The following is a 25023-nucleotide window of genomic DNA, read 5'->3' on the forward strand; positions in this document are numbered from 1 at the left end:
CTTAATTTCATTTTGGGGTTTTCATTGTAGATGTGTGCAATTGATTTTTGTACATTTATCTTGTATGCTGTAATATTGCTGAAATAATTTACTAGTTCTATCGTTCAGTGGATTCCTTAAAATTTTCTATATACAAGAATGTTATTTTCAAATAAAGTTTTATTTCTTCCTGTTCAATATGGGTGACTCTTATTTTTTTAGTTGCCGATTTGCCCTGCATAAAATCTTTAGTACAGTTTTGACTAGAAGAGGTCAAAATATATATCCTATTCTTATCTCTGACCATAGTGGGAAAGCATCCTTTACCATTAAGTTGCATGCTTGCTGTTGGCTTTTCACAGGTGCCACGCATCTGGTGTAGAAAGTTCTCTATTCCTGGTTCATTGAGTTTTTATTTTTATTTTTAATCATTAAAGCATTTGGATTTTGTTAAATGTCTTTTCCGAATCTATCGAGATGATCATGCAATTCTCGTTTCTTATTCTATGGATAAGATGTATTACCTTAATGGATTTTGGGCTGTTAAACCAACCTGGGATTACTTGTATAAATTTCACTTTGTCATTGTGTATAATTCTTTTATATGTTGCTAGATCTGATTTGTTAGTATTTTTTAAGGAATTTTGCATTTATACTTATAGTAGTTTTATTTTTCTATGCTATTTTGACTAATTTTTGTATCAAGGTAACACTGGCCCCACAGAATAAATTGGGAAGTGAATATTTCTCTAAAAAAGTTAGTCAAGAATTAATATCAATTATTCAACACTAACAAATATTATTATTATAAATTATTAATTTCTCTAATTTTTATTTTCTTCCTTCTGCTTGCTTTAGGTTTAGTTTGCTATTCTTTCCAGTGCCTTCATGTGGAAGGTCATCTTATCTCATCCTTTCATTTGTCTTTTCATATTCTAAATAGTGTCTTTTTAGCATCAGGTGAGCTCCCCAGTTTGGTAGTACTCCATGTTTATTGCTGTACAACAATGACAGGTAATATGTCCTGAAGACAATGGAAACTTAACATTCAAAATCTCCTAGATTCTACCTTATATGCTATGTCTCTTCAATTGGTCCTAATTTCTACCCTTTCTCTATTATAAACCATGAGTACAATGGCATTCAATGAATTCTGTGAGTCTTTCTAGTAAATTCTTGAAACTGAGGGTATTCAGGGGAAACCCCTGAACTGGCAGTTGGTGTCAGAAGTGAGAATCCTCTTATATGGCCTCTTCCTTTGAACTTTGCAGCTGGACGCAAACTCTGCAGAATTTGGGCCAGAAGTCTCGCGATGACTTTGCAGCCTAAAGTATCTTGTAGTTTGTCTAACCCTCAATAAATTTGCTTTCATCAAATATTGTATTTGCTACCCCAAAATTACCATCACGTTTTTTTTCTCCAAATAACTAACGTTGGGAGAAATAGCCAGCTGAGTCTGTAACTCAACAGAAACAAGTGATCCATATACCATATACCATATAAGTGGCCATTTCATATTGCCTTCTGCCACCAAATCTTAGCAACCTCAACCATTGCCATGAGCCACTGTAGGCCTACGAGCTACAAACAAGTATCTTTTAAAAACACTTCATACTCCCATTTGATAAATTTCCCATCAAAGAGATGCCTACTTTATGCAACTGGCTCATATTCACGAAGTCTGTAGATATTATTCATGTAGTGTGAGAAAATCATCCCAGCAATGCCAGCACATTCTCCTTCCCATGATCTGCTTAGTTCGCAAACATATTCTGGCCATGGGTGAGAGATTTGTATTTCACTGTACAACAATTTTATGGAGGGCATTGAAACTTACCTTGAGCATTTTAGTACAGTCACACATCACTGAATGATAGGGATACGTTCTAACAGACGTATCCATAGGCAATTTCATCATTTTGCAAACATCACAAAGAATATTACAAACACCTAGATTCTACAGCCTACCACCTCTAGGTTATATGGTATAGCCTCTCTCTCCCAGGCTACAAACCTGTGTACTACATTACTGTACTGAATACTGCAGGCAATAAGAACACAGTGGTAAGAGGTTATGTATCTAAACATACTTAAACGTAGAAAAGTATGTAAAAATATGTATTATAATCTCATGGGACCACTTTTGTATATGTAATCCATCTTTGACTGAAATGTTATTATGCATGACATGACTCTATGACAAAAATAAAATAACACATTGTAAAAAATGTACACAGGTATCAAACATATTAATATTGTAAAAATAAAAATATTTATTCAGTATAAGAATTTGTAATGATCACAAAATGTTCACAGCTTATATTTTAGTACAGTTTCAAATGCCTAGTGCAATTACTATTTATTTCTGTGTGTGTTTTAAACATGTATATAATAAATATTTTTCAGGTTCAACAGTATATATCAATCCAACTGGCTCTTATAAATATTAGTTAAAATCAATTAGTAAATTCATATATATATATACACACGTGTATCAGTCTGTATGCATGTATGTGTGTGTAAATGTAACTGTATGTGTGTGTAAATGTAACTGGATGCATCCTAATATTTACCCTTACCAACAAGATTCCCAAGATTCATTTATTATCTTTAGATGATGTGCATTTAAAGATTTACCAAATAAAACTGTAATCGTGGAAAATATCAAGATGTTATTAAATTCATGTTGTGCACATAATTGTTTCTTTAAATTTATGTTTCTTGCAAAACTTGCGGTAATGCTCATGCACAAAATAATTTTCTAAATAAAAAATAAAAACATTTTCTCAGTCATTAATTCTTAATTATTATTTCTCCCCAATAATTAATGTGAATTAATTCTTAATTCTTAATTATAGAATAATGTTGCCCTTCAGAGTTCTGAATCTTTTGCATGTTGTATACATTTTACTAACTAGAACAACTTCTGGAATATTGGCATTAATTACTGTCACTCAGCAATTAATGATTTCAAAGAAATTAAATACCATTCATATTCTGAATCACAAGGATACTTTGGCATGTAATTTCTTCAAGCTCTTTGTATCATCATCTACACTTTAATTACTTAACAAACATTTTTCTGTGTGAGAAAGATTGAGCAGGTTATTGTGCTTTTTTAAGATGCAACTTTTGCTTAATCTAGAGATAGGCAATGCTCCCTATAAGGGACAAAGAGAAAAATGAAAGAGCAATAGAGATGTGACAGGCATGGAAAAAGACAATACATTTATAAAACAAATAGGGCCACAGATGATGATAATGAGGATCAAATCTTGAGATACTGACTCAGTTTATAACTCACTGTACAATAGAGCAAATCATTTGTTAATTTTTTTACAAATGGAATTTAATTTAATTAAGATGAATACAGTGTTTTAAACCAGGCAGGTCACCTTAAAATAAAGTAGTGGAATAAAGTGATAAAACCAATGTAAAAGTCATAAACATTTTATAAAGAATTTTTGTCATGTAATTTAATATTTTTATTTAAAATCACCCAAATCAAAATAATTTTATCTTAATTAAAAAATAATCATCAGAAGTTAACTAATTTTTACTTTATAATACTAGGTTTAAAAATTCTTAACTATATTTTTAATCATATATGCTTATACATAAAATAGACATAGGGTATATGTTTACATGTTCACAATATTATATTGTAATTGTTCCTATGGAATGGAATGGAATCATTGAATGGAATTGAATGTAATCACCAATGAAGGGAATCAAATGGAATCATCGTCAAATGGAATCAAGTGGAATCATCGAATGGAATCTAACGGAATCATTGTCGACTGGAATGGAATGGAATCAATTAATGGAATTGAATGGAATCACCAATGAATGGAATTGAATGGAATCCTCATCGAATGGTTTCAAATGGAATCATCAAATGGACTCGAATGGAATCATCAGATGGCATTGACTGGAATCATCATCGAATGGAATCATCGAATGGAATCGAATGCAATCATCATCAAATGAAATCGAATGGATTCATGGAATGGCATCGAATGGCATCATCATCCAATGGAATCAAATGGAGTGATTTAACGGAATCGTGTGGAATCATCATCGAATGGAATTGAGTGGAATCATCGAATGGACACGAATGGAATCATCAATGAATGGAATCAAAAGGAATCATCATCAAATGGAATCGAATAGAATCATCATATAATGGAATTGAATGGAATCATAGAACGGAATAGAATAGAATCATCATCGAATGGAATTAAATAGAATCATCAGATAAAATTGAATGGAATAATCATCTAATGGAATCGAATGGAATCATCATCAAATGGAATTGAATGGAATCATCATCGAATGCAATAGAATGGAATCATCATCAAATGGAATTAAATAGAATCATCGAATGAGATTGAATGGAATCATCATCGAATGTAAACGAATGGAATCATCATCGAATGGAATCATCATTGAATGGAATCAAATGGAATCTTCAACAAGTGGAATCGCATGGAAACCTCGAATGGAATCTAATGGAATCATCAGCACATGGAACCGAATGGAATCATCATGGAGTGGAACCAAATGGAATCATCATCGAATGGAATCCAAAGGGATCACTGAATTGAATGGAATGATCATTGAATGCAATCGAAGGGCATCATCGAATGGGATGGAATGGAATCATTCAATGGAATCGAATGGAATCATCAAAAGGATTCGAATGGAATCATCATCAAATGGAATTGAATGGAATCATCGAATGGACTCAAATGGAATCATAATCGAATGGAATCGATTGGATATATCGAATGGACACAAAAGAAATCATCATTGAATGGAATTGAATGGTATCATTGAATGGATTCGAATGGAAACTTCATGCTATGGAATCAGATGGAGCCATTGACTGGCATCGAATTGAATCATCAGTGAATGGAATCTAAGGGAATAATCGAATGGAACAGAATGGAATCATCGAATGGACTCGAGGGGAATCATCATCGAATGGAATCATCGAATGGACACGAATGGAATCATCTTCGAATGGAATCGAATGGAATCATCGAATGGACTCGAATGGAATCATCATCAAATGCAATCTAATGGAATCATCGAATGGACTCGAATGGAATCATCATCAAATGGAATAGAAAGGAATCATTGAATGGAATCGAATGGAATCATCATTGAATGGAATGGAATCGAATCATTGAATGGACTTGAATGGAATCATCACCGAAAGCAATTGAATGGAATCTTCGAATGGACTCGATTGAAATCATCATTGAATGCAGTCGACTGGAATCATCATCGAATGGAATCGAATGGAATCATCATCAAATGGAATGGAAAGGAATCATCCAATGGAGTAGAATTGAATCACCATTGAATGGAATCAAATAGAATCATCAAATGAAAACGAATGGAATCATCATCGAATGGAATTGAATGAAATCATCATTGAATGGAATCGAATGGAATCATCATCGAATGGAATCGAAAGGAACCATTGAGTGGACTTGAATGGAATCATCATCAAATGAAATCGAATGGAATCATCGAATGGCATTAAATAGAATCATCAATGAATGGAATCTAAGGAACAATTCAATGGAATTGAAAGGAATCATCAAATAGACTCGAGTGGAAGCATCATCGAATGGAATCGAATGGCATCATCGAATGGAATCATCATCGAATGGCATCGAATGGAATCTTTGAATGCACTCGAATGGAATCATCATTGAATGCAAACGAATGGAATCATCATCGAATGAAATCGAATGGAATCATCATCGAATGCAATTGAATAGAATCATCCAATGTAGTAGAACTGAGTCATCATCGAAAGGAATTGAATAGAATCATCAACGAATGGAATCGAATGGAGAAATCGAATGGAATCCAATTTAATTATCATCGAATTCAACCCAATGGAATCATTAAATGGACTCGAATGGAATCATCATCGAATGGAATAGAATGGAATCATCGAATGCAATCGGATAGAATCATCAAATGGACTCCAATGGAATCATCATCGAATGGAATAGAATGGAATCATCGAATGCAATCAAATGGAATCATCATCGAATGAAATCAAATGGAATCATTGAATGGACTCGAATGGAATCATCATCGAATGGAATTGAAAGGAATCATCAAATGGACTTCAATGGAATCATTGAATGGACACGAATGGAATCATCATTGGATGGAATTGAATGGAATCATCGAATGGACACGATTGGAATCATCATCGAATGGAATCAAATGGAATCATCATATGGAATCGAATGGAATCGTCATCGAATGGAATCGAATGGAATCATCATTGAATGGAATCGAAAGGAATCATCATCAAATGGAATCTAATGGAATCATCATCGAAAGGAATCTAATGACATCATCATCTAATGGAATCTAATGGAATCATCAATGAAAGGAATCAAATGGAGAAATCGAATGGAATCCATTGGGATCATCATCGAATGGAACCGAATGCAGTTGTCATCGAATGGAATCCAATGGAATCATCATCGAATGAAATGATGTCAGGAGTTAAGACCTTTGATGATGCCATGCACCATCACCAGTCTTTACCTCTTGAATGGGCTTGCACATGGCTGCTCCTGTACTGCTGAAGTCCAGTGCCAGTAGTTTATGTTTCCCTATTATTTCATCAGCCCAATACAAATTATTGTCAAAATTACACCTGGAGGTGATAACAGGAAAATAATCTTCTCAGTAAATGCATATTTTGTGAGTCTCAACTTCCAGAAATTGGTCATCGAACAGTATGAGTTAGTGTCTTTCTATCTTGGTTGTCACCTTTATTATATTGTAGGGGTCTGAGGTGTGTAGAGTGAACACCTCAGAGTTCCGGTTGCCCTTGTGGGTTTTGCTACATAAACCCTTTCAAAGCACACATGCCTGATTGCAGAAATGAATATTGTCCCGACAATCAATATAGAATTCTGGATCATTCTTCCCTTTACTTTTCCTAATAGCTTCTGCTAAGCTTGCGATATTCTGTGGGATTATATCACATGTATCTGTCATCTGAAATGTGATGCAAGGCACTTCTATCAAAAAGGCCCTTGTCATGCCAGAGACAACAAATCCTAGACTGAGGTAATCCACATTTCTTATTGTTCTGTAAGTGAGCACTGTCACAGAATAATCAAGATTTTGGTCTTTTAAGGCCAAAATAAGTTGAAATGCCTCAAGGCCAAAATAAGTTGAAAAATGCCTCATGAAAATGCCTCAAGGCCAAAATAAGGTTAAAAATGCCTCATGAAGAAGTGTTCCTGGGATCTCTTCATTTAGTTTTTGAATTCTCCGCAGAATAAAACATAATGAAAGTCCTTTATTTCCATTCTCATCGTATCACTCACTCTCATCTCAGATGTGGACTTGTTTCTCTTTCCTGAAATCCAATATACTTGGAGTCATAAGGCAAATATTTAGCTATTTCAGATGTGTTGCCTAGAACTATTCATGGAGGCACTTCACCAGGGTTTCCAAGCACCAAATTGTGATATTTGCTTCCACGTTTCCTAGAAACAAGTTATCATGAGGTTGTGTTTGTTTACTATACATGAACACAATCTGTTCAAGTCTTAATAAAATGGAGCCATATTTGTTTGCAAAGAACCCACACACTTCACAGTGGCTTTCTGTAGATAGATTTGATGAACTTTATATATATATTCATTTCCCTCTCCAGATTTTTGAAAACTATCAATTTGCCCGTCTTTGGTGAAAAAACAGCTTTTCCTTCTATCTTTCTGCAACTTGTGGCCATGACAAATGCCATTTGCAAAAAACAGTCTAACAGCACTGGATCGATACGCTATTCATACATTACTCTCTGGATATCTTCATTGACCTTGCTTGTTGTTATGCCATCCTTTAGCTCATTGCAGAATAAAAAAGTGGCTTTTAACTGTTTGAAAATGATATCATAGTAAAATCCAACATGGAAGAGACATTCAGAAAGTTCATCAGTGTTTGAAATCAACTTACACTTTCTAGCAACTCTAGAAGGCATCTTCTTTCTTTAACTTAAGAATTTTGTAGATGGCAACTATATTAAAACTCTTTCAAGGTGTCTTGTAGTGATTACGGATTCACGTCTTTGTATCTTGAATGATTTTTAATCTCTTTTATTAAGTCTAACATGATTTGGCAAACCAGTATCTCAACAGGGGAACCAAATCTGCCTTGGAACTATACATTAAGTTTAAAATAAACTATTTTTCAACTTACTAGAAATACTAAAAATAAACAGCCCTTGACTCAAAAATCTTCCCTGGCACCACATCTGCATTTATACCCTCTTTCATTGTCATCTTGTGAAATGATATATTACCCAATTTTGCTGGTAAAAACTAATTAGAACATTTATATTTAAATCGTGCTTAACAGTTTACAGAAGTATTTTTCATTTTCTTCTTGTACCCAGTGGCAGAATTTTATGATTCTGAAGCACTTAGACTCTCATCATCTTTTTGCAGAAAAGTAAAACAAAACTAACAATATGATTTTTAAAATCAGCAACTAGGATTTTGTAATTTATGTATTAAAACAAGCATTTAATTTGTTCTCTTTTAAGCTATTTGGCTGCAATGCTTTCTTAAAAACTTTAGATCTGCTCTTCTGTGATGTGTTGGGACATGAACCCAGATAAAGAAAGAAGGTTAAGGCCTCATTTAACATGGGTCTATTATTACTTTTCTGTGCATTAAGATCATAAAAACACCATCAAAACTATAAGCCAAAGTGAATTGACTGAATTTTTAATGACAATGAGACACAAAAAACTAGTTACAATTTACTTATTTATTTTTGTTAAAACAAATATTTTATAATTTTTGTAATCTTTTCAAGAGACAGGGTCACGCTATGTTGCCCAGGCTGCAGTGCACCGTCATTTCACACTACCACCTTGAACTCCTGGGCTCAAGCAATCTTCCTGCCTCAGCATCTGGAGTAGCTGGGACTACAGTTGTGTGCCATTGCACCCAGTTTTTGTAATTTTCCAGTGGTTGAAAGATGGTCAAACCTTAGACAAAGTTCTTAAAATAAGTCAAACATAGTTGAACTATTTTTTTCCTTACCAATTCTATAATTGATATACCTTGTCATTATTGGATTCACTTTGAGATTCCCAGAAATGGACTCCTACTATGAGTGAAGTCGCATGTTGATGTTACCTATCTGGGGTGATCCAGAGTGTTCTTGGTTGTCTTCTTCAAAGAAAGAATTCACTCAAAAGACCAATTAGTAAAGCAGGCAAAAGTTTTATTGGGGAAGTAAAAGTACACTCCAACAGAGGAGTGGGCTGACCCTGCTGGAAACAGCCCCGGGACATTCTGCATTCGATATTCTATGGTCTTGCTTCTTTCCTTGTCCAGTTCTCACCAAGGCTTGGGGGGATCATCCCTTACTGTGGTTCATGTACATGCACTGGACGCAGTGATCAATACAAATTCCACCCGATGGGGACGTTGCTCATTACTGCCACCCGGGAAGGTCATATAGCCATCAAATTTGTACTCATTGCACCTGTGTGGCTCTCAAGAATTCTGCTTTTGCCTTTTTTCTCCCTTATCAGGATCTAGTTAGCCACATTTTGAGTTTGACCATAAAGTGAGTACTGGGCATCTTAAGAGGTGGTCTGGGCTGTTCCTTCCAACATGGGTACCTCCCCTCCTGCCTGCTAATATCTGACTAACTGCCCCCTTTCACGTTTATTCCTTAAGGAGTTGGGACCCAGAAATCTTTTGGGAAATAGGGTGGAGGTCATTCTTCTGTAGCTACTTCCTGCTGAAAAGGGGCGTCGAGGGTCTTCTGGTCCCTCCTCCTTGCTTGCTGTCATGGCAAGAGGGTTTCAGAGGTTGTTGTTGTCTCTCAAAAGGTTTGACCCACAGTGTCCAGAGGAGACATACAGAAACTTGGTTGTCCTCAAGGGCAGGAAAGAGGTTGATATCCTTGTCACAAGACCATTTGAAGTCTGACGGCGTCTAGATGGGATAAAATAAACTTACTTAGTAGATTCAAGAAGCAAGACCCAGAAAAGAGAAGAAGGAAGATAGAGGTCAGGGGTCCCAGGAAGGGGAGGAGCCATGAGAATCAGAACCAGGTGACACCCCAGTAGCCCCTTCCCAAAGGTGAGAAGCCTAGTTTATGAGATCTCAAATGTGCTCCTGAGCCTGCCCTGATCTCTTAACCCAAATCAGCACTCTTCTCCAAGCACAGCCAAGTTCCTCCCTGAGCTGCAGCCAGCATGTCAAGACCTCTACCATGTTTGAGAACTATAGCTGCGAGAGAACTGACTTGCCACTGTAACTCTGTTACAGCAACTAGTCGTTTCTATCCCTTGGGCCAATTCCAGAGACAGGCTGTGGTAGGTTCAGGAGTAAGTGCCAATGCTGGCTATTCCCATCATGGCACCTGTGGTGATGCCAAGCCCAACGAGAAAGGGAATTAATTGAATTGCTTGGTGGGCCCCAGTGTGAGGTTATAAATAAGAGCAAGGGCAGAGAAGCATCACCTGGGGCAATGAGATGCTAGGGGTGAGGTAAGCCAGCATGCGTGTTCTGGTCCAGTTTGCAGAGAGGCAGAGGTGGGCCTGTGTCCCACATAGAAAACAAAGTTCTGTCATACGTAGACAAGAATGGATACGGAAGGAGGCAAGGTCAATTCCAAACATTACCATTGTTGGCTACGCAAGATGTGATATTCTGTCACTAAAGTTGCAGCTGCTAGGGGAGCCAGACATGAGTGAGTAGTTTGAATAGGAGGATGGTTCTTATTTTCCCAGAAGAGCATGTGTCTAGTAATGTCAAGGAAAAGAGCCTCCAAAGGGAGTTAAAGATTTGAAATTTTTGCATGACCACTACTGGCTTGGTAAGGTAGAGAACCTTACTTGGTATTGGGAGATTTCAGTTTCTAGAAAAAAAGAAGTATGAGAGGTATTGACAATGGTGATGGTTGTGTTGCAGTGCGCAGGGTTGAGAGAACCCACCAAAGTTCCAGAATCTGTGGCAGTAGTGATGCCTAGGAGTACCTGACTGATGGTGAAGGGGGAAAACAAGGGGCCTAAAATAGTGCAAGTGGGCTTAAGAAAAGCCTGAAAGTCCCCTTTGCTTGTGTTAGGTACTGTATGCATCTCTGGGAAGGTTTTGTATAGAGAAGCCTCAGTGATAGGTGAAGCTAAACTGGGCTTGAGAAGTTTTCTATTCTTGTATCGTGGCTGGGTAGGCTGTTCCTGCCCTGGATAGAAATAATTCATGCTTAGCCCATAGGTTGAGGGATAGGAAGATTTGGTGAACTTCGGTAGTTGTTGAGCTTCTTGTAGATTTTTTTTTATATATAGTTGTGGGCTGTTGGGGCCTATGAGGGTGATTTTAGCTAGAAGCATTAGTGAGCATAGAGCATTTGGCTGCATGGTCCCAACAAGAACAGATTAGAGCCAAATCAAGATGTCTGTTGATTATGGAAAAAGAACTTGTTAACTCAGTGAGTATTAGAGAGAACACCACCCAGATTATTGCTTTGAGATTTAAATCCAGGTAGGGAAGAACAGACCTTTTCCTGGCAGTGGGTGGGGGGTGGTATTGGTTCACAGTAGCAAAGACATATTAGTAAACCTGCAAGGAGTATTACGATTCATGGTATAACAATCCAAAGCATTACTAATTTACTTATCTTTATTCTTTTGGCTTTGCTTGAAGAGGAGTTTGAGACCCTGGAGGGGCTCAGTGGTCCAGGTGTCCAGTGGGACCTTTACGACTTCCTCTGCCAGAGATGAGTCATACAGCTTTACCTTGGAATAGTGGACCCACCTGGTGATCCCTGGCACCATAACTGCTGTAGGAGCGGAGAGCAAATCAGTATAAGGACCTCTCCAAATAAAACTCAGTTGAGAGTTTGGAGTTCCATACTTCCAAGTCTTGATGAGAACTTGAGTTCTCATCAACTTGGAGGGTATAAAATTTGGTCAGAGTTTTCACGATGTGAAAATATCTTTTGGCCTAGTTTTTGAGCCCCCTGCTGAGACTGGGATAGGAAAGTAACATAATTAGTGAGTTGGTAAGTTTCAGTATCCAACAGGAAAGCAAAGAAAGGATCTTCCACATAATAACTCGGAAGAACTGAGTTGTAAGTTAGAGGTGGGTATGTTTCTCAGCCTTAGTAGAGCAATACGTAGTAGCTCTGGTCATGGCTTTGAGGTTTCCTGGCATAATTTTTCCAAGGTTTGCTTGAGAGTTTGGTTAATTCTATCAACCATTCCAGAGTGTTGTGGATGCCAAGAGGAATGTAGAAAGTAACTGATTCCCAAGTCCCGAGAAACAAGTTGAGTAAACTGTGAGGTGAAGGATGTACTGTTATAACTTTGCAGCGACCTGGGAATGCCAAACCGGGGGATGACCTCCATGAGGAGGGCCTTTACTACCCCCACTGCTTTTTCCATTCACACAGGTAAGCTTCTATCTAACCTGGAAAGGTGTCTACAAAGATCAGAAGATATTTTATACAGGCAGGAAGTTGGTTTGAGTCAAACTGCCAGTCCTCCCCAGCATAAGTACTCCTCCATTGGACTGGCTGGAAAAGAAAAGGTTTGGCTCCTTGTGGGATGTTTAATGTGCAAAGGGCACAGGCCCTGCAAACTTGTTCAAGAGTCTTGGAAAGAGTTTTATTCCCCAAAAGAGCCATTTGCACATTATTGAAAGCTTTTTGTTGCCAAAGTGGCAGGAGTCATGCAAAACATAGCTAACTTTCCATTGAACATTTTAAGGCAGATGTAGGACCTCTCTCAGTTGATACCAGCCTCCAGGGCCTCGTGTCCCAGTGCCCATTCCTATTCCTCTGGTGAGTACAAGGGGCTGGTGGCTTTGGATCCTCAGTGGGAGGATGAATTAAAGGAGGCTGAGGATGCTCTGCTGGGAAATTTCCTAAGCCATTTATAGGAGAATTATCCACTGAGGGGCTCACAAGAGCCAAAATAGCAGGGTCTAGTTTGCATTTTTGGCAGAGATTCTGATCTTCTTTTAAAGCCATAAAGGCCTGGACATAGGGTACCTCTGACCATTTACCCTGTGACCTGCAAAGTAGGTCCAACTGCAAGATGGTATTAAAATTAAGGCTACCATTTTCTGGCCAGCCTTCCTACAGTCACATAGCTTTGTATTGAGGCCATGCAGAGTTACAAAAGAAAACTACTATCTTTTTTCTTTAATGTCTGGGGATCAATCTTGTCCTAACTTTTGAGAATGCATCCAAGGAGTGAGTCCTACAGCGTGGAATGTTGAATGTCCGTCTGAAAAACAGAGAGAAGTAAAGGCCAGGGGAGAGTGAGCATCCTCGCTCTCTGTCCATTCTCATCCATTATGAAACGGGAAGAGCATCCTCTCCATCTCTTTCCCACACTAGGCCATGCAACCCTAGCCTGTGAGGAGATTCACACTTCATGCACCCTTACTGCATGCTCCCAACCGAGCAGTGACCTCTTTCTCTCATTTGATCTGTTGACCCCCCAGGTCCATAGGTCTCACCTCTAATTATAGATGACTGTGCCTAATTATAATTTCATAGCTTTTTGTGATAACCCTCTGCATACAGGCAAAGCATGTCAAGGCCAGTGCGGAGGGCCAGAGACAAGAGGGAAGTTGATTGGTAAATCCCGGAGAATTCAGTGGTAAGAACATGGAAAGAATATTGGGTACTAGCCACATCCAGGAGACCCCTAGACCGAGACCACAGCACCCAAAATTTACCTAAATTCCTTCTGGAGGTGGAATTAGTTCAGAGGAGACAGTGACAGAGCATTCAAAAAGTCACTCTATTGGAGCTTATCTGGGAAGAGAGAGGACAAAGTAGGTGGCATTGGCTAGCAAGAGAGATGCTGCGATGGCATAGGCAGCAGGACCAACTGTGAGGAAAGACAGGGTGGTGAGTCCCCGAAAGTCAGTTGTGAGAATGTGGAAGGGATCAGAAGCCTTAGGGTCTCTGTCAAGAAGAAAGCATTCTGTGCCTGGAGGGGCTCTGTTGGGCATTAGGTGGACATGCTCCAGCTTAGCACACAAAGCAGAGATGCCAGGGAGCTTGATCGGCATGCTCAGCATTCTCATAGTCTATGCTGGATAGGAGCAGACATGTGAGAGGAGACAGCAGGGAGCATAGCCCTTACCTCACAACAGGATGCGAGTCACAACACCGAGAGATGTTGTCAAGCCTGGAGTTCCAGAAAGTGTCCTCCATTCTTGTCTTCCTGCAAGAAAGAATTCAGCCAAAAGATCAGTTAGTAAATCTAGCAAAAAATGTATTGCAGAAGTGACAGTACGCTTTAAGAGAAGAGTGGGCCAACTTGGCTGGAAGCAGCTCCAATACATTCTGCATTTGATCTTTTTCCTCACTTTCTTCTTTGGGTTCCTGCCTGTGTTCTTGCCCAGTTCACACCCAGGCTTGGGGGACCCTCCCTTACTCTTGGTTAATGCACATGTGCAGAACCCAGTGATCAAGACAAATTCTACCCAATGGTGGTGTTGCTCATTACTGCCACCCAGGAAAGTTGTATAGCCATCACATTTGTACTCACTGTTTCCATGCAGCTCTTAAGAATTCCCCTTTTGCCTTTCCCCTTCTTTATCTGAATGTAGTTAACACATTCTGACAGTTCAACCATAGAATGAGTGATCACTGAGCACCTTAAGAGTCGTTTTGGGGCGTTTCTTCCCACATAGCTACCTTTGCTCCTGCCTGCTCATATCTGACTAACTGTCTACCCTAACAGTTGGATTGCAAGGTTCTTGTTCAATTGAACCTTGAAACATTGAAAGGGTCATGTCCCAGGGAGATGGGAACCCTGTGCAGTTTTACATGCAATTCTGAGTAGGAAGAACAGAATGGATTCTGTTTGGTCACATTTGCTATTTAACTACTTTTGATATCATTGCCATCTTAGCCATAAATCATTCAAGTGATGGTAAGATAGACATAAGTGAACTTCACTTTACGAATTCAAATATTGCTTTAAGTATTTAAAAATTGCTGTACGATTGCACAGCAACGGGCACATTTTACAACAATTGATATTAAAATGCTAAAAGTACAATAGCAATTAAGGATGTATTCATGTAAGAAAATCACAAAACTTTAAACTGAAAAACAGAAGAAATCTTTTTCAGTGTTACAGGTTCATAGAATTCATAAAAAGTATTTATCCTGGATTCCTTTACATAATAATCATCCATATGTGGTTAGGTGTTTGAATATCAATCATTTACATCTGACTAGAAGTGGGAAATTTGAGATGCTACAGGAAAACTTTAAAAACATTATGAACCCAAGCCAAACTAAAATCAATTAGAAAGTAAGCCAAAGCATCTCAAAGTATACTTTTAGTTGTTAGGCAATACCATTCAATTTCCAAAATCTAATTTAAATGCAATTTTTACAGAAATTTAAAATGTGCCAGTTTAGTTACATTTATTGAACAAAGTTAACAAATGAATATCTCTTGACAACGAGAGCTCCAAGGACTTAAAAAAAAGCTGTAAAGTTTGTTTCCTTTCCTTAAAAACACAGATAATTATGACCTTTATTTAAAATACATAAGTCAACCAGACAACTGAATATTTTGCCAAAAAAATACAAGAATTATATCAGAAGTCTGAGAAGGAAAGAAAAAATGATGCTACACCTAACCTTTGACAAGTCGCTCTCCATTCTGATATTTGAAGACAATGAGTTTAAGGTAGGAATTCTTAAGGCTTCTCTTGGAATATGTATTCTGCTGAGACCTAAATTTTCATTAAGATTTCCATTGCATGCTGACTCTAGGACTGGCCTTGTAGTATGAGAAGTAAATAAAGATCTGCTCCACTCTTTTTCTTGAAGAAGTTTGGTACTGACATCTGCTAGAATTTCTTTACGCCTATGAAGATTGCAAAACACAGATACTGAGTATTTTGGGGTTTTTTTTACAAATTATGTCTAAATGACTTGCATTGTTTAAAAAGTCACCATGAGTCAATGAAAGATACCACAAACCATGTTTTAACTCTGAAAATGTATGAGAGCACGTGTATCGTACACAGTTTTAATTTTAAAATTGTTCTAAAGAAGTACATGTACTCCTAGAGGATTTTTAACAAGTAATTCAAACAAAGTAGGGAGGGAAGAGCAAAAGCTATCAATGATGTACGGATTAACAGGTGACATTTGTTGTCTTCTGAAATGGCTCTATTTATAAGATTCTTAAGGATGCCATTAGAAATACTTGCATTTAGGCTGGGCATGGTGGCTCACACCTGTAATCCCAGCACTTTGGGAGGCCAAAAGGGGTGGATCACTTGAGGTCAGGAGTTCAAAACCAGCCTAGCCAACATGGTGAAACCCTGTCTCTACTAAAAATACAAAACATTAGCCAGGCATGGTGGCGGGTGCCTGTAATCCCAGCTACTTGGGAGGCTGAGGCAAGAGAATCATTTGAACCCGGGAGGCGAGATCGTGCCACTGCATTCCAGCCTGGGACAAGAGCAAAACTCCATCTCAAGACAAAAAAAAAAGTAAAAAAGCAAATAAATACTTTTGTTTAAAGGGGAACTACATGAAATGATAAACATGTTAATTTGCTGGACTAGAATCACCATTTGACTATGTATAAATATATTAAAACATCATGTGTTACTCCTTAAATATATAGGAGTACCAAAATATATCCAAAAATATAAATCCAAAAATATTTTACTCCGGTGAAATAACTAAAAGTAAAATAAAGCTAGAAATACTTGTATTCAGTAAGCCAGTTACAGAAAAAAACTATCCCTCAAAGACACTTTCAAGCATTTCTTCTTACCACCCTTGTACATTTCACCCATTATTTGAGAAGCATTTGGCACTGGGGAATCATTCAGAACAACAATTCCCTGGGGAGAAGGAGATAGCCGAGATCAAAGAGAACTCAGTCATCTCCAAAGGTGATTTACTCCTAAAATTGTGACCCAGGCATCAGAAGTGGGGCCTGCCCTTTTGGACTTCCACCCACCACCTCAGGCTGACCAAGGTGGTGTTTTTCACCACTTTGTGAATTATATTTCCTTTCAACCCTGTGTTAATTATTCTCTAATTCACAAGTATGCCCTTATGTGGCGTGGAAAAACTATACAAAATACTTTGTTCCAAGGTGGCCTCTAATGATAATACCAAAGATCGCAATCAATGACAGTTAATTTACTGAGTGCCAGAATGTGCAGAGGAGTAGAAGTACCTGACCCTTTTTCAGTTTAAGTTGTAATCTTATAAAAAATAATTAAATTCATTAATATTTCTTGTAGGGGAATGTTGACAAGCAATTGTGTAACAATATCACTGTCTAAATTATGAAGCTTCAAAGATACTTGGCTGAAAGACTAACAGATCAGGTTAACTAAATAAGAATATTAAGGGGATAAAGAGCCATATAAAACCAAAAAACAGGCCAGGCACGATGGCTCAGGCCTGTGATCCTAGCACTGTGGGAGGCTGAGGTGGGCAGATCACTTGAGGTCAGGAGTTCAAGACCAGCCTGGCCAAGATGGTGAAACTCCAGCTCCACTGAAAATATCAAAATTAGCCAGGAGTGGTGAGAATATGACAGGTCATACTCAGGAGGCTGAGGCAGGAGAATTGCTTGAACCTGGGAGGCAGAGGTTGCAGTGAGCAGAGATTGTGCCACTATACTCCAGCCTAGGCAACAGAGTGAGAATCCATCTCAAAAAAACAACACACAAAACAAACCAAAAAACACAATCAAAAACAGGGGAGTGACATGAATTGGCCTGGATTAACTTTTTTTATTTTTATTTTTATTTATTTTTTTTTTTTTGAGATGGAGTCTCACTCTGTCGCCCAGGCTGGAATGCAATGGGGTGATCTCGGCTCACTGAAACCTCCGCCTCCTGGGTTCAAGCAATTCTCCTGCCTCAGGCTCCCAAGCAGCTGAGATTACAGGAGCGTGCCACCATGCCTGGCTAATTTTTGTATTTTTAGTAGAGACGGGGTTTCACAATGTTGGACGGACTGGTCTTGAACTCCTGACCTCAGGTGAGCCACCCGTGGATTAACATTTTAAAGGTAAGCTCATTTACTAACATCATTTTCCAAAATTGTTTAATCTAGTTAGCTTTCGCTTCCCCCTAATCTCATAAACCTGTCTCACTAAAAATTATGCTTTTGAGGCAAATTAATGAGCTTCATTTCTTTTCTGTGATTCTGTGTTTTGACTTACTTGTTTAGTTCATCTGACAAAGATTCTCTAAGTTTTAATTCTTCTAGATACAGCTCCTTATATTTTTCCAATTCTGTTGTATTACAGTCCGCTTGTGAAGTTCTTGCTTTGTAGAGTTTGAATTCCAGATCTTTAATTCTAAGTTCCATCTGACTTTTCATAGTAGCATTGCTTTCCTCTTTTAACTGTAACTGGTCATGAGCTATTTTCTGTGACTAAAACAAATTGAAAGGGTACATTAAACAAATAATTATAACCTGAATAATTATTGTGTATTTGTTTCTTTTTGTTTTGGGTCGGTGATCTAGAGAGCATTTCTAAGTATGTGAAAAAAGCAACTGAAGTTTAATATATTTATTATGAGTATCAACTAAATTAATAATTTAATCTGAATTGTAAAAAAATGAAATCATGCTTATGGTAGTACTCATGAAATGTAACACTCCAAAGAATAATAAAATCAATTTAAATTCTGAAAAATTGAGCAATATAACTTAAGAATACTTCAAGAGTATAGTATAATTTATAAATCACATTTTTCTTCCTCTGTTAGTCTTGTTTTATGCCACTTGTCTTAGCAATCAAATGATTCACTAATGAGAATCATTATTATGGAAGATCAATTTAGTTACAATAATGACGGCAAGTGAAATATTTAAAGAGAGAAACAGATACCACCTTCCTTCTAGAAATCTACCAAACAAATTGCTACAAGAGAAGTAGAGGAAACACATACAATGTATGTATCCCAAATATAATTTGCACTGAAATGAATGAAGGCACCTTATTGATAATAAACTAACCTGTAAAAGTAGACCAATGTTTTCTAATTGTTCTGCTATCTCCTGCCTTGCTCTTTCTTCTACCTCCTGTTTATAGTGTTCCAATTGACCACATTCTAACATATTCATTTCCATGTGACTTTTGAGGTTTACTAGTTCTTCTTCCAACTTCTCCTGATCCTTCTGTAGTGTTTCACGTTTCTCTTGCATTGTTTTCATATATAATAATGCCTGTTGAAGAACTTCAATCTCTGCATTCACATGTAGACCTTCTGAAGATGCAGTTTCCACTGCTTCTGTAAGATCAGCCTGCATGAGTAAAATAATATGGTTTGGTAATGAAGAAAGAAGACAGAATAGTCTAATATAAAACTAATCATTTTTGAAATAAATTCAGTTGCAATAAAATGTTATCTATACTGCAGTAGATTCTTAAAACATGAATCCTTGAATTACCTAGAAAATCAAAAACAAATTTAAAACCACCAGGAATCACAAAAATATATGTTTTACACACATCATCTTTGCCACACAACATTTTTACGTGATAGTAGGCTTTCATTTTCCTGATTGTTTAATGTATTTCCTCTTTAAAATTGCTCCAAGTCACTTCTCTTTTTTTTTTTTTTTTGGTTTGTTTTTTTTTTTTTTTTTTTGAGGTGGAGTCTCACTGTTGTTGCCCAGGCTGGAGGGCAGTGGCATGGCCTCGGCTCACTGCAACCTCCGCCTCCTGGGTTCAAGTGATTCTCCTGCCTCAGCCTCCTGAGTAGCTGGGATTACAGGCACCTGACACCATGCCCAGCTAATTTCTTGTATTTTTAACAGGGACGGGATTTCACCATGTTGGCCAGGCTGGTCTCGAACTCCTGACCTTGTGATCCACCCACCTCGGCCTCCCAAAGTGTTGGGATTACAGGCGTGTGCCACCACACTCAGTCTAAGTCACTTCTTAGTACAAAGTCTCTTGCCCCCTCATACCCTTTGTCATTCCCCATAATTTCTAAAAAAGTTTTAGGGACACCATATTAAATTATCCAGACCTAAGCCAATAAATCACTCTGAGAAGGAGACTTGAATATAAGACTCTAATTAACGAATCTTTATGATAAAAACTCCAACAAATTAGGCATAGAAGGAACATATTTCAACACAATAAAGGCCATATATGGCAAAACCACAGCTAACATTACACTGAAAGAGGAAAAGCTGAAAGTCTTTCCTCTAAGAACTGGCATAAGACAAGGATACCCACATTCAGCACTCATATTCAACACAGTATTAGAAGTCCTAGCCAGAGCAACTGGGTGAAAAAAAAATGAAGGGCATCTAAATTGGGAAAGAACAATCGAAATTTCTCTTTGTACATGACCTGATCCTATACATAAAAAACCTAGACTCCTCAAACAAACTCTTAGAACATTTCATCAAATGGCTACAGAATACACATTCTTCACATTGGTACATAGAACATTCCCCAGGATAGACCATATATTAGGCCAGAAAACAAGTCTTAGCAAATTTTAAAAACTTAAAATCATATCAAGTATCTTCTCAAACATAATGGAATAAAACTAGAAATCAATACCACTTACGAATGCTAAAAAATAATAAAATACTACTCAGGAACAAATTTAACCAAGGAAGTGATAGAGCTCCCCTGCAAGAAAACTATGAAACACTGATGAAAGAAATGGTAGAGGACAAAAACAAATGGAAATATATCCCATGCTCATGAATTTAAATAATTAATATTGTTAAAATACTATCTGAAGGAGTCTACAGGTTAAATATGATCACTATTAAAATACATATTAGTCTATTTTCACACTGCTGTAAAGATACTACCCAAGACTGGGTAAAATGTATTTAAAAAGAGGTTTAATTGACTCACAGTTCTGCATAGCTGGGGAGGCCTCAGGAAACTTACAATCACAGCAGAAGGGGAAGTAGGCACATCTTACATGGTGGCAGGAGAGAGAGGAGAAAGTGAAGGGGGAAGAGCCCCTTATAAAACCATCAGATCTCGTGAGAACTCACTCACTATCATGAGAACAGCATGGGGGAAACTGTCCCCATGATCCAATCACATCCCTCCCTTGACATGTGGGGATTACAGGTCTCTTCCTCCACACATGGGGATTATAATTTGAGATGAGATTAGGATTGGGACACAGAGTCAAACCATATCAAAATATCAATTACATTTTTAACTGGGGAACAAGATGACCAACCAGATGCAGCCAGAAATACCTCTTCCACAGAGAGAAAACAAAATATTGAGTAAACCATCACACTTTGAACAGATTTTGGGGGAAAAAGAACTCAAAGTCAATAGAGAGGCAATGCAGACACTGAGTTTGAAGAGGAAGGAAACTAGGAAGCCAGATGGAGTCACCAATCACCAGGACCAGCTCTTGGTCCAGAATTGGACCTACGGAAGGAGAGAGTGAAGGAACTAGGGGTCACACAATCCTGCCAGGGACCTCTGAGATCCTAGGTACAAGAGATCCCATGATAAACACAGACATTTGAATTGTCAGGGGGAACTGCCAGGAGAGTAGGAAGAGGCAGAGCTTGAACATGCATGGAGCCCAAAAGGTTTCATGCATGAGGCAGCTGCAGGAAAATATGAGAATAGGCACCCATCCACCAAGGCTCTCCATCTTTCCGAGTCACTTTAGCCCCTGCTGACAGCCTGACCAGGAGAGAGCAGGGCTGCCTTTTCCAAGGGCCTGGAGTGCATCTGATTTGCACACCCCCTTGTTTGCCGGTCCCTTCCCCAGCTCCTGCCTAGTTGCTCCCTCAAGGGTGTACACATAGCACAGCCTCCACTGCCCCCACCTGAGTGTTTTTCTGGCAGCCTGAAAGCAGTTTGCCCACTCCAGTACAGCCAATGCTTGACGCTGAGGTACCAGAGGATATAGCTACGAGACCCATCCCAACTTCCCAGGGTTTGAGTGCACAGTTAAGGGGTATTAAGCTGGTATCTGTGGCCTGAGCTCAAGTCGGGGTGGCACCCCCACTCTCAGAACACTGAGAAGAGTGAGGCACAGATTCATGTGCTGGCATGGGAGCTGGGCGTGCCTCCTTCTGCGAGACTGGTCTGGGAAAAGCATAGCCTGTTGGATGGCCACAGACTCCATCCAAGAGAAACCTATGGCCTGGAACACATATCAGGCCAAAGATTTGGGTTTAGAAGGCTTGGGACAAAACTAGCTGGTCAGGCCTTACCTAAAAGCACACATCACAGAAAAACTGGTTGGGGAGCATGAGTTGTATGGTCCTCAAAGCCAACTGCTGAGCAAAAAACTCCAGGCTGTGGGTACCACACCAGCTGCACACCCATGGCACCACCCAACCTGCCCAGGGGACCTTCACCCTTGACCCACAGCATCCACAGACACCTGCAGACATACCCCATATCCCATTCAGACTCTTCCAAGCACGGGGAATCAGCAGGTCCCTGGAGATTTGGAGGACTAACCTTTGGCTCAGGCTGCCCCTAAAGCAAGCTTGTCCTGGGCCCATGGGCTGCATGCAGACCAGGAAGACTTTGAACGTGGCCCAACACACATTTGTAAATTTTCTTGAAACATTATGAGTTTTTTTTGCAATTTTTTTTTTTTTTTTAGCTCATCAGCTATCGTTAGTGTTAGTGTGTTTTATGTGTGGCCCAAGAGAATTCTTCTTCTTCCTATGTGGTCCTGAGAAGCCATAAGATTGAACATCCCTGGCCTTAAAGATGGGGGCTGTGCAGCTGTCCAGGGACTTCTTTGGAGCTAAGAAAGAGGGAGTATAGCACCAGTGATTGAAGGGGATTCTCTGAAGGCTTGGGAACAAACTTTGTGAGAAAGGCATTTCTTGCCTCCCTGCCAACTGTTTCCCCCTCCTCAGAGGCCTGCTTCAAACACACTGATACACAAGAGTTATGCAGCTGAGTAAGAGCCTATCCACCAGCCCTTACTCCAAAGCACCATCTACGGGATTGAAGTCAGAATTACACCACCAAACACAATTAATTCCTTAAACACAGTTAGCCTGTGAAAACCAATGCAGGAAACTAGCCACAACTAAGAAATCCATAGAGGTCAGGTGCGGTGGCTCACGCCTATAATCCCAGCACTTTGGGAGACGAAGACAGGTGGATCACCTGAGGTCAGGAGTTCAAGACCAGCCTGGCCAATATGGTGAAACTTCATCTTTTCTAAAAAAAAAAAAAAAAAAAAAAAAAATTAGCCTGGTGTAGTGGCAGGCATCTGAATCCCAGCGACTTGGGAAGCTGAGGCAGGGGAATCACTCAAACATGGCAGGCGGATGTTGCAGTGAGCCAAGATCACACCACTGCACTCCACCCCGGGTGACAAGAACAAAACTTCATCTCAAAAAAAAAAAAAAAAAGAAAGAAAAAGAAATTCATAAAGATCCTAGGCCTTCTGAAAGAACACAGAAATTAAACCAATGAACTGTTCCAACATACACAACAGTCAAACACTCAAGGGAAGAATAGGAATATAGAAACCAGAAGTCATATCCAAATGACAGCAATTTCAAAAAGATAAATAAACACTAGCCCTCTCAGATGAGAAAGCATCTGTGAAAGAAATCCAGCAATTCAAAAAGTCATAGCGTTTTCTAACCCTCAGAGGATCACACTAGCTCCTCAGCAATTGATCCTAACCAGATTGAAATGCTGAAATGATAGTCTTAGAATCCAGAATCTGGATGGTAAGGAAGCACAATGAGGTCCACGGGAAAGTTGAAACCTAACCAAGGAAGCCAGAAAAATAATTCAAGAGTTGAAAGATGACATAGCCATTTTAAGAAAGAAGAAAACTGGGCTTCTGGGATTGAACAACTCACTCTAGGAATTTCAAAATACAATTGGAAGCCTCAAAAACAGACTAGACCAAGCAGAGGAAGAAATTATAGAACTTGATGTTGGGTCCTATGAATCAACCCAGTCAGATGAAAATAAAGAAAACAGAATTTTTAAAAGTGAACAAAACCTCTGAGAAATATGGGATCCCATAAAGATACCAAATCTATGACTCATTGGCATTGTGGAGAAAGAGTAAGTAATTTGGAAAACACACTTTAGAATATAGTCCACAAAACTTTCCCCAATCTCATTAGAGAAGCTGACATGCAAATTCAAGAAATTCAGCGATAAGATACTATACAAGATGGTCATTCCAAAGACACATAGTGAAAAGCATCCAAAAGTCAACGTGAAAGTCTTATGGCAGCTAGAGAAAAGGGTCAGATCACATACAAAGGGAAGCCCATCAGGCTAACAGCAGACTTGTCAGCAAAACTTTACAAGCCAGAAGAGTGTTGGCCTATTTTAGCATCCCTAAATAAATTCAAACCCCAAATTTTATATCCTGTCAAACTAAACTTCATAAGTGAAGGAGAAAAAAATCTTTTCCAGACAAGCAAATGCTAAGGGAATTTAATACCATTAGACCAGCCCTACAAGAGATCCTTGAGGGAGTTCTAAACATGGACATGAAAGAACAATACCTGCAACCACAGAAACACACATAAGTACATAGCTCACAGACCTTATAAACAAATACACATTGGAGACTACAAAGCAACCAGATAACAACATCCCGGCAGGATAAAAATCTGACATATAAATATTAGCCTTGGATAAAATTATCTAAATACCCCACTTAGAAGGCACAGAGTGGCAAGCTGGATTAAAGAAAATCAAGAATCACCATCTGCTGTCTTCAAAAGGCCCAACTCACATACAATTACACCCATAGGCTCAAAGTAAAGGCATAAACTAAGATCTATCATGCACACAGAAAACAAAAAATCAGGGGTCATTATTCTTATATCAGATTAACACACTTTAAACCAACAACAGTTTTTAAAAATGACAAAGAAGAAGACGATAAAGAATGATACACAATGATAAAAGAACTCAATTCAACAAGAAGGCATAAATATTTTTAAATATATAGGCACCCAACCCTGGAGCATCGGATTTCT

The 25023-nt window shown here is 38.6% G+C and overlaps 1 pseudogene across 1 annotated transcript in view; it reads right to left on the reverse strand.

Moving 5' to 3' along the window:
• Positions 1-9246: 9246 nt before the first annotated feature.
• Positions 9247-25023, reverse strand: part of ANKRD26P1 (ankyrin repeat domain 26 pseudogene 1) — a 99761-nt pseudogene continuing 83984 nt past the window's right edge. The window contains exons 13-17 of the transcript NR_026556.1: positions 19042-19329; positions 18239-18453; positions 15676-15904; positions 14159-14239; positions 9247-11838 (exon numbers count right to left, since the gene is read on the reverse strand). The product of NR_026556.1 is annotated as an ankyrin repeat domain 26 pseudogene 1 (transcript). The remainder of the gene's footprint in view (positions 11839-14158; positions 14240-15675; positions 15905-18238; positions 18454-19041; positions 19330-25023) is intronic.

The sequence above is a fragment of the Homo sapiens genome, chromosome 16 (assembly GCF_000001405.40).
Source record: "Homo sapiens chromosome 16, GRCh38.p14 Primary Assembly".
Classification (NCBI taxonomy): domain Eukaryota; kingdom Metazoa; phylum Chordata; class Mammalia; order Primates; family Hominidae; genus Homo; species Homo sapiens.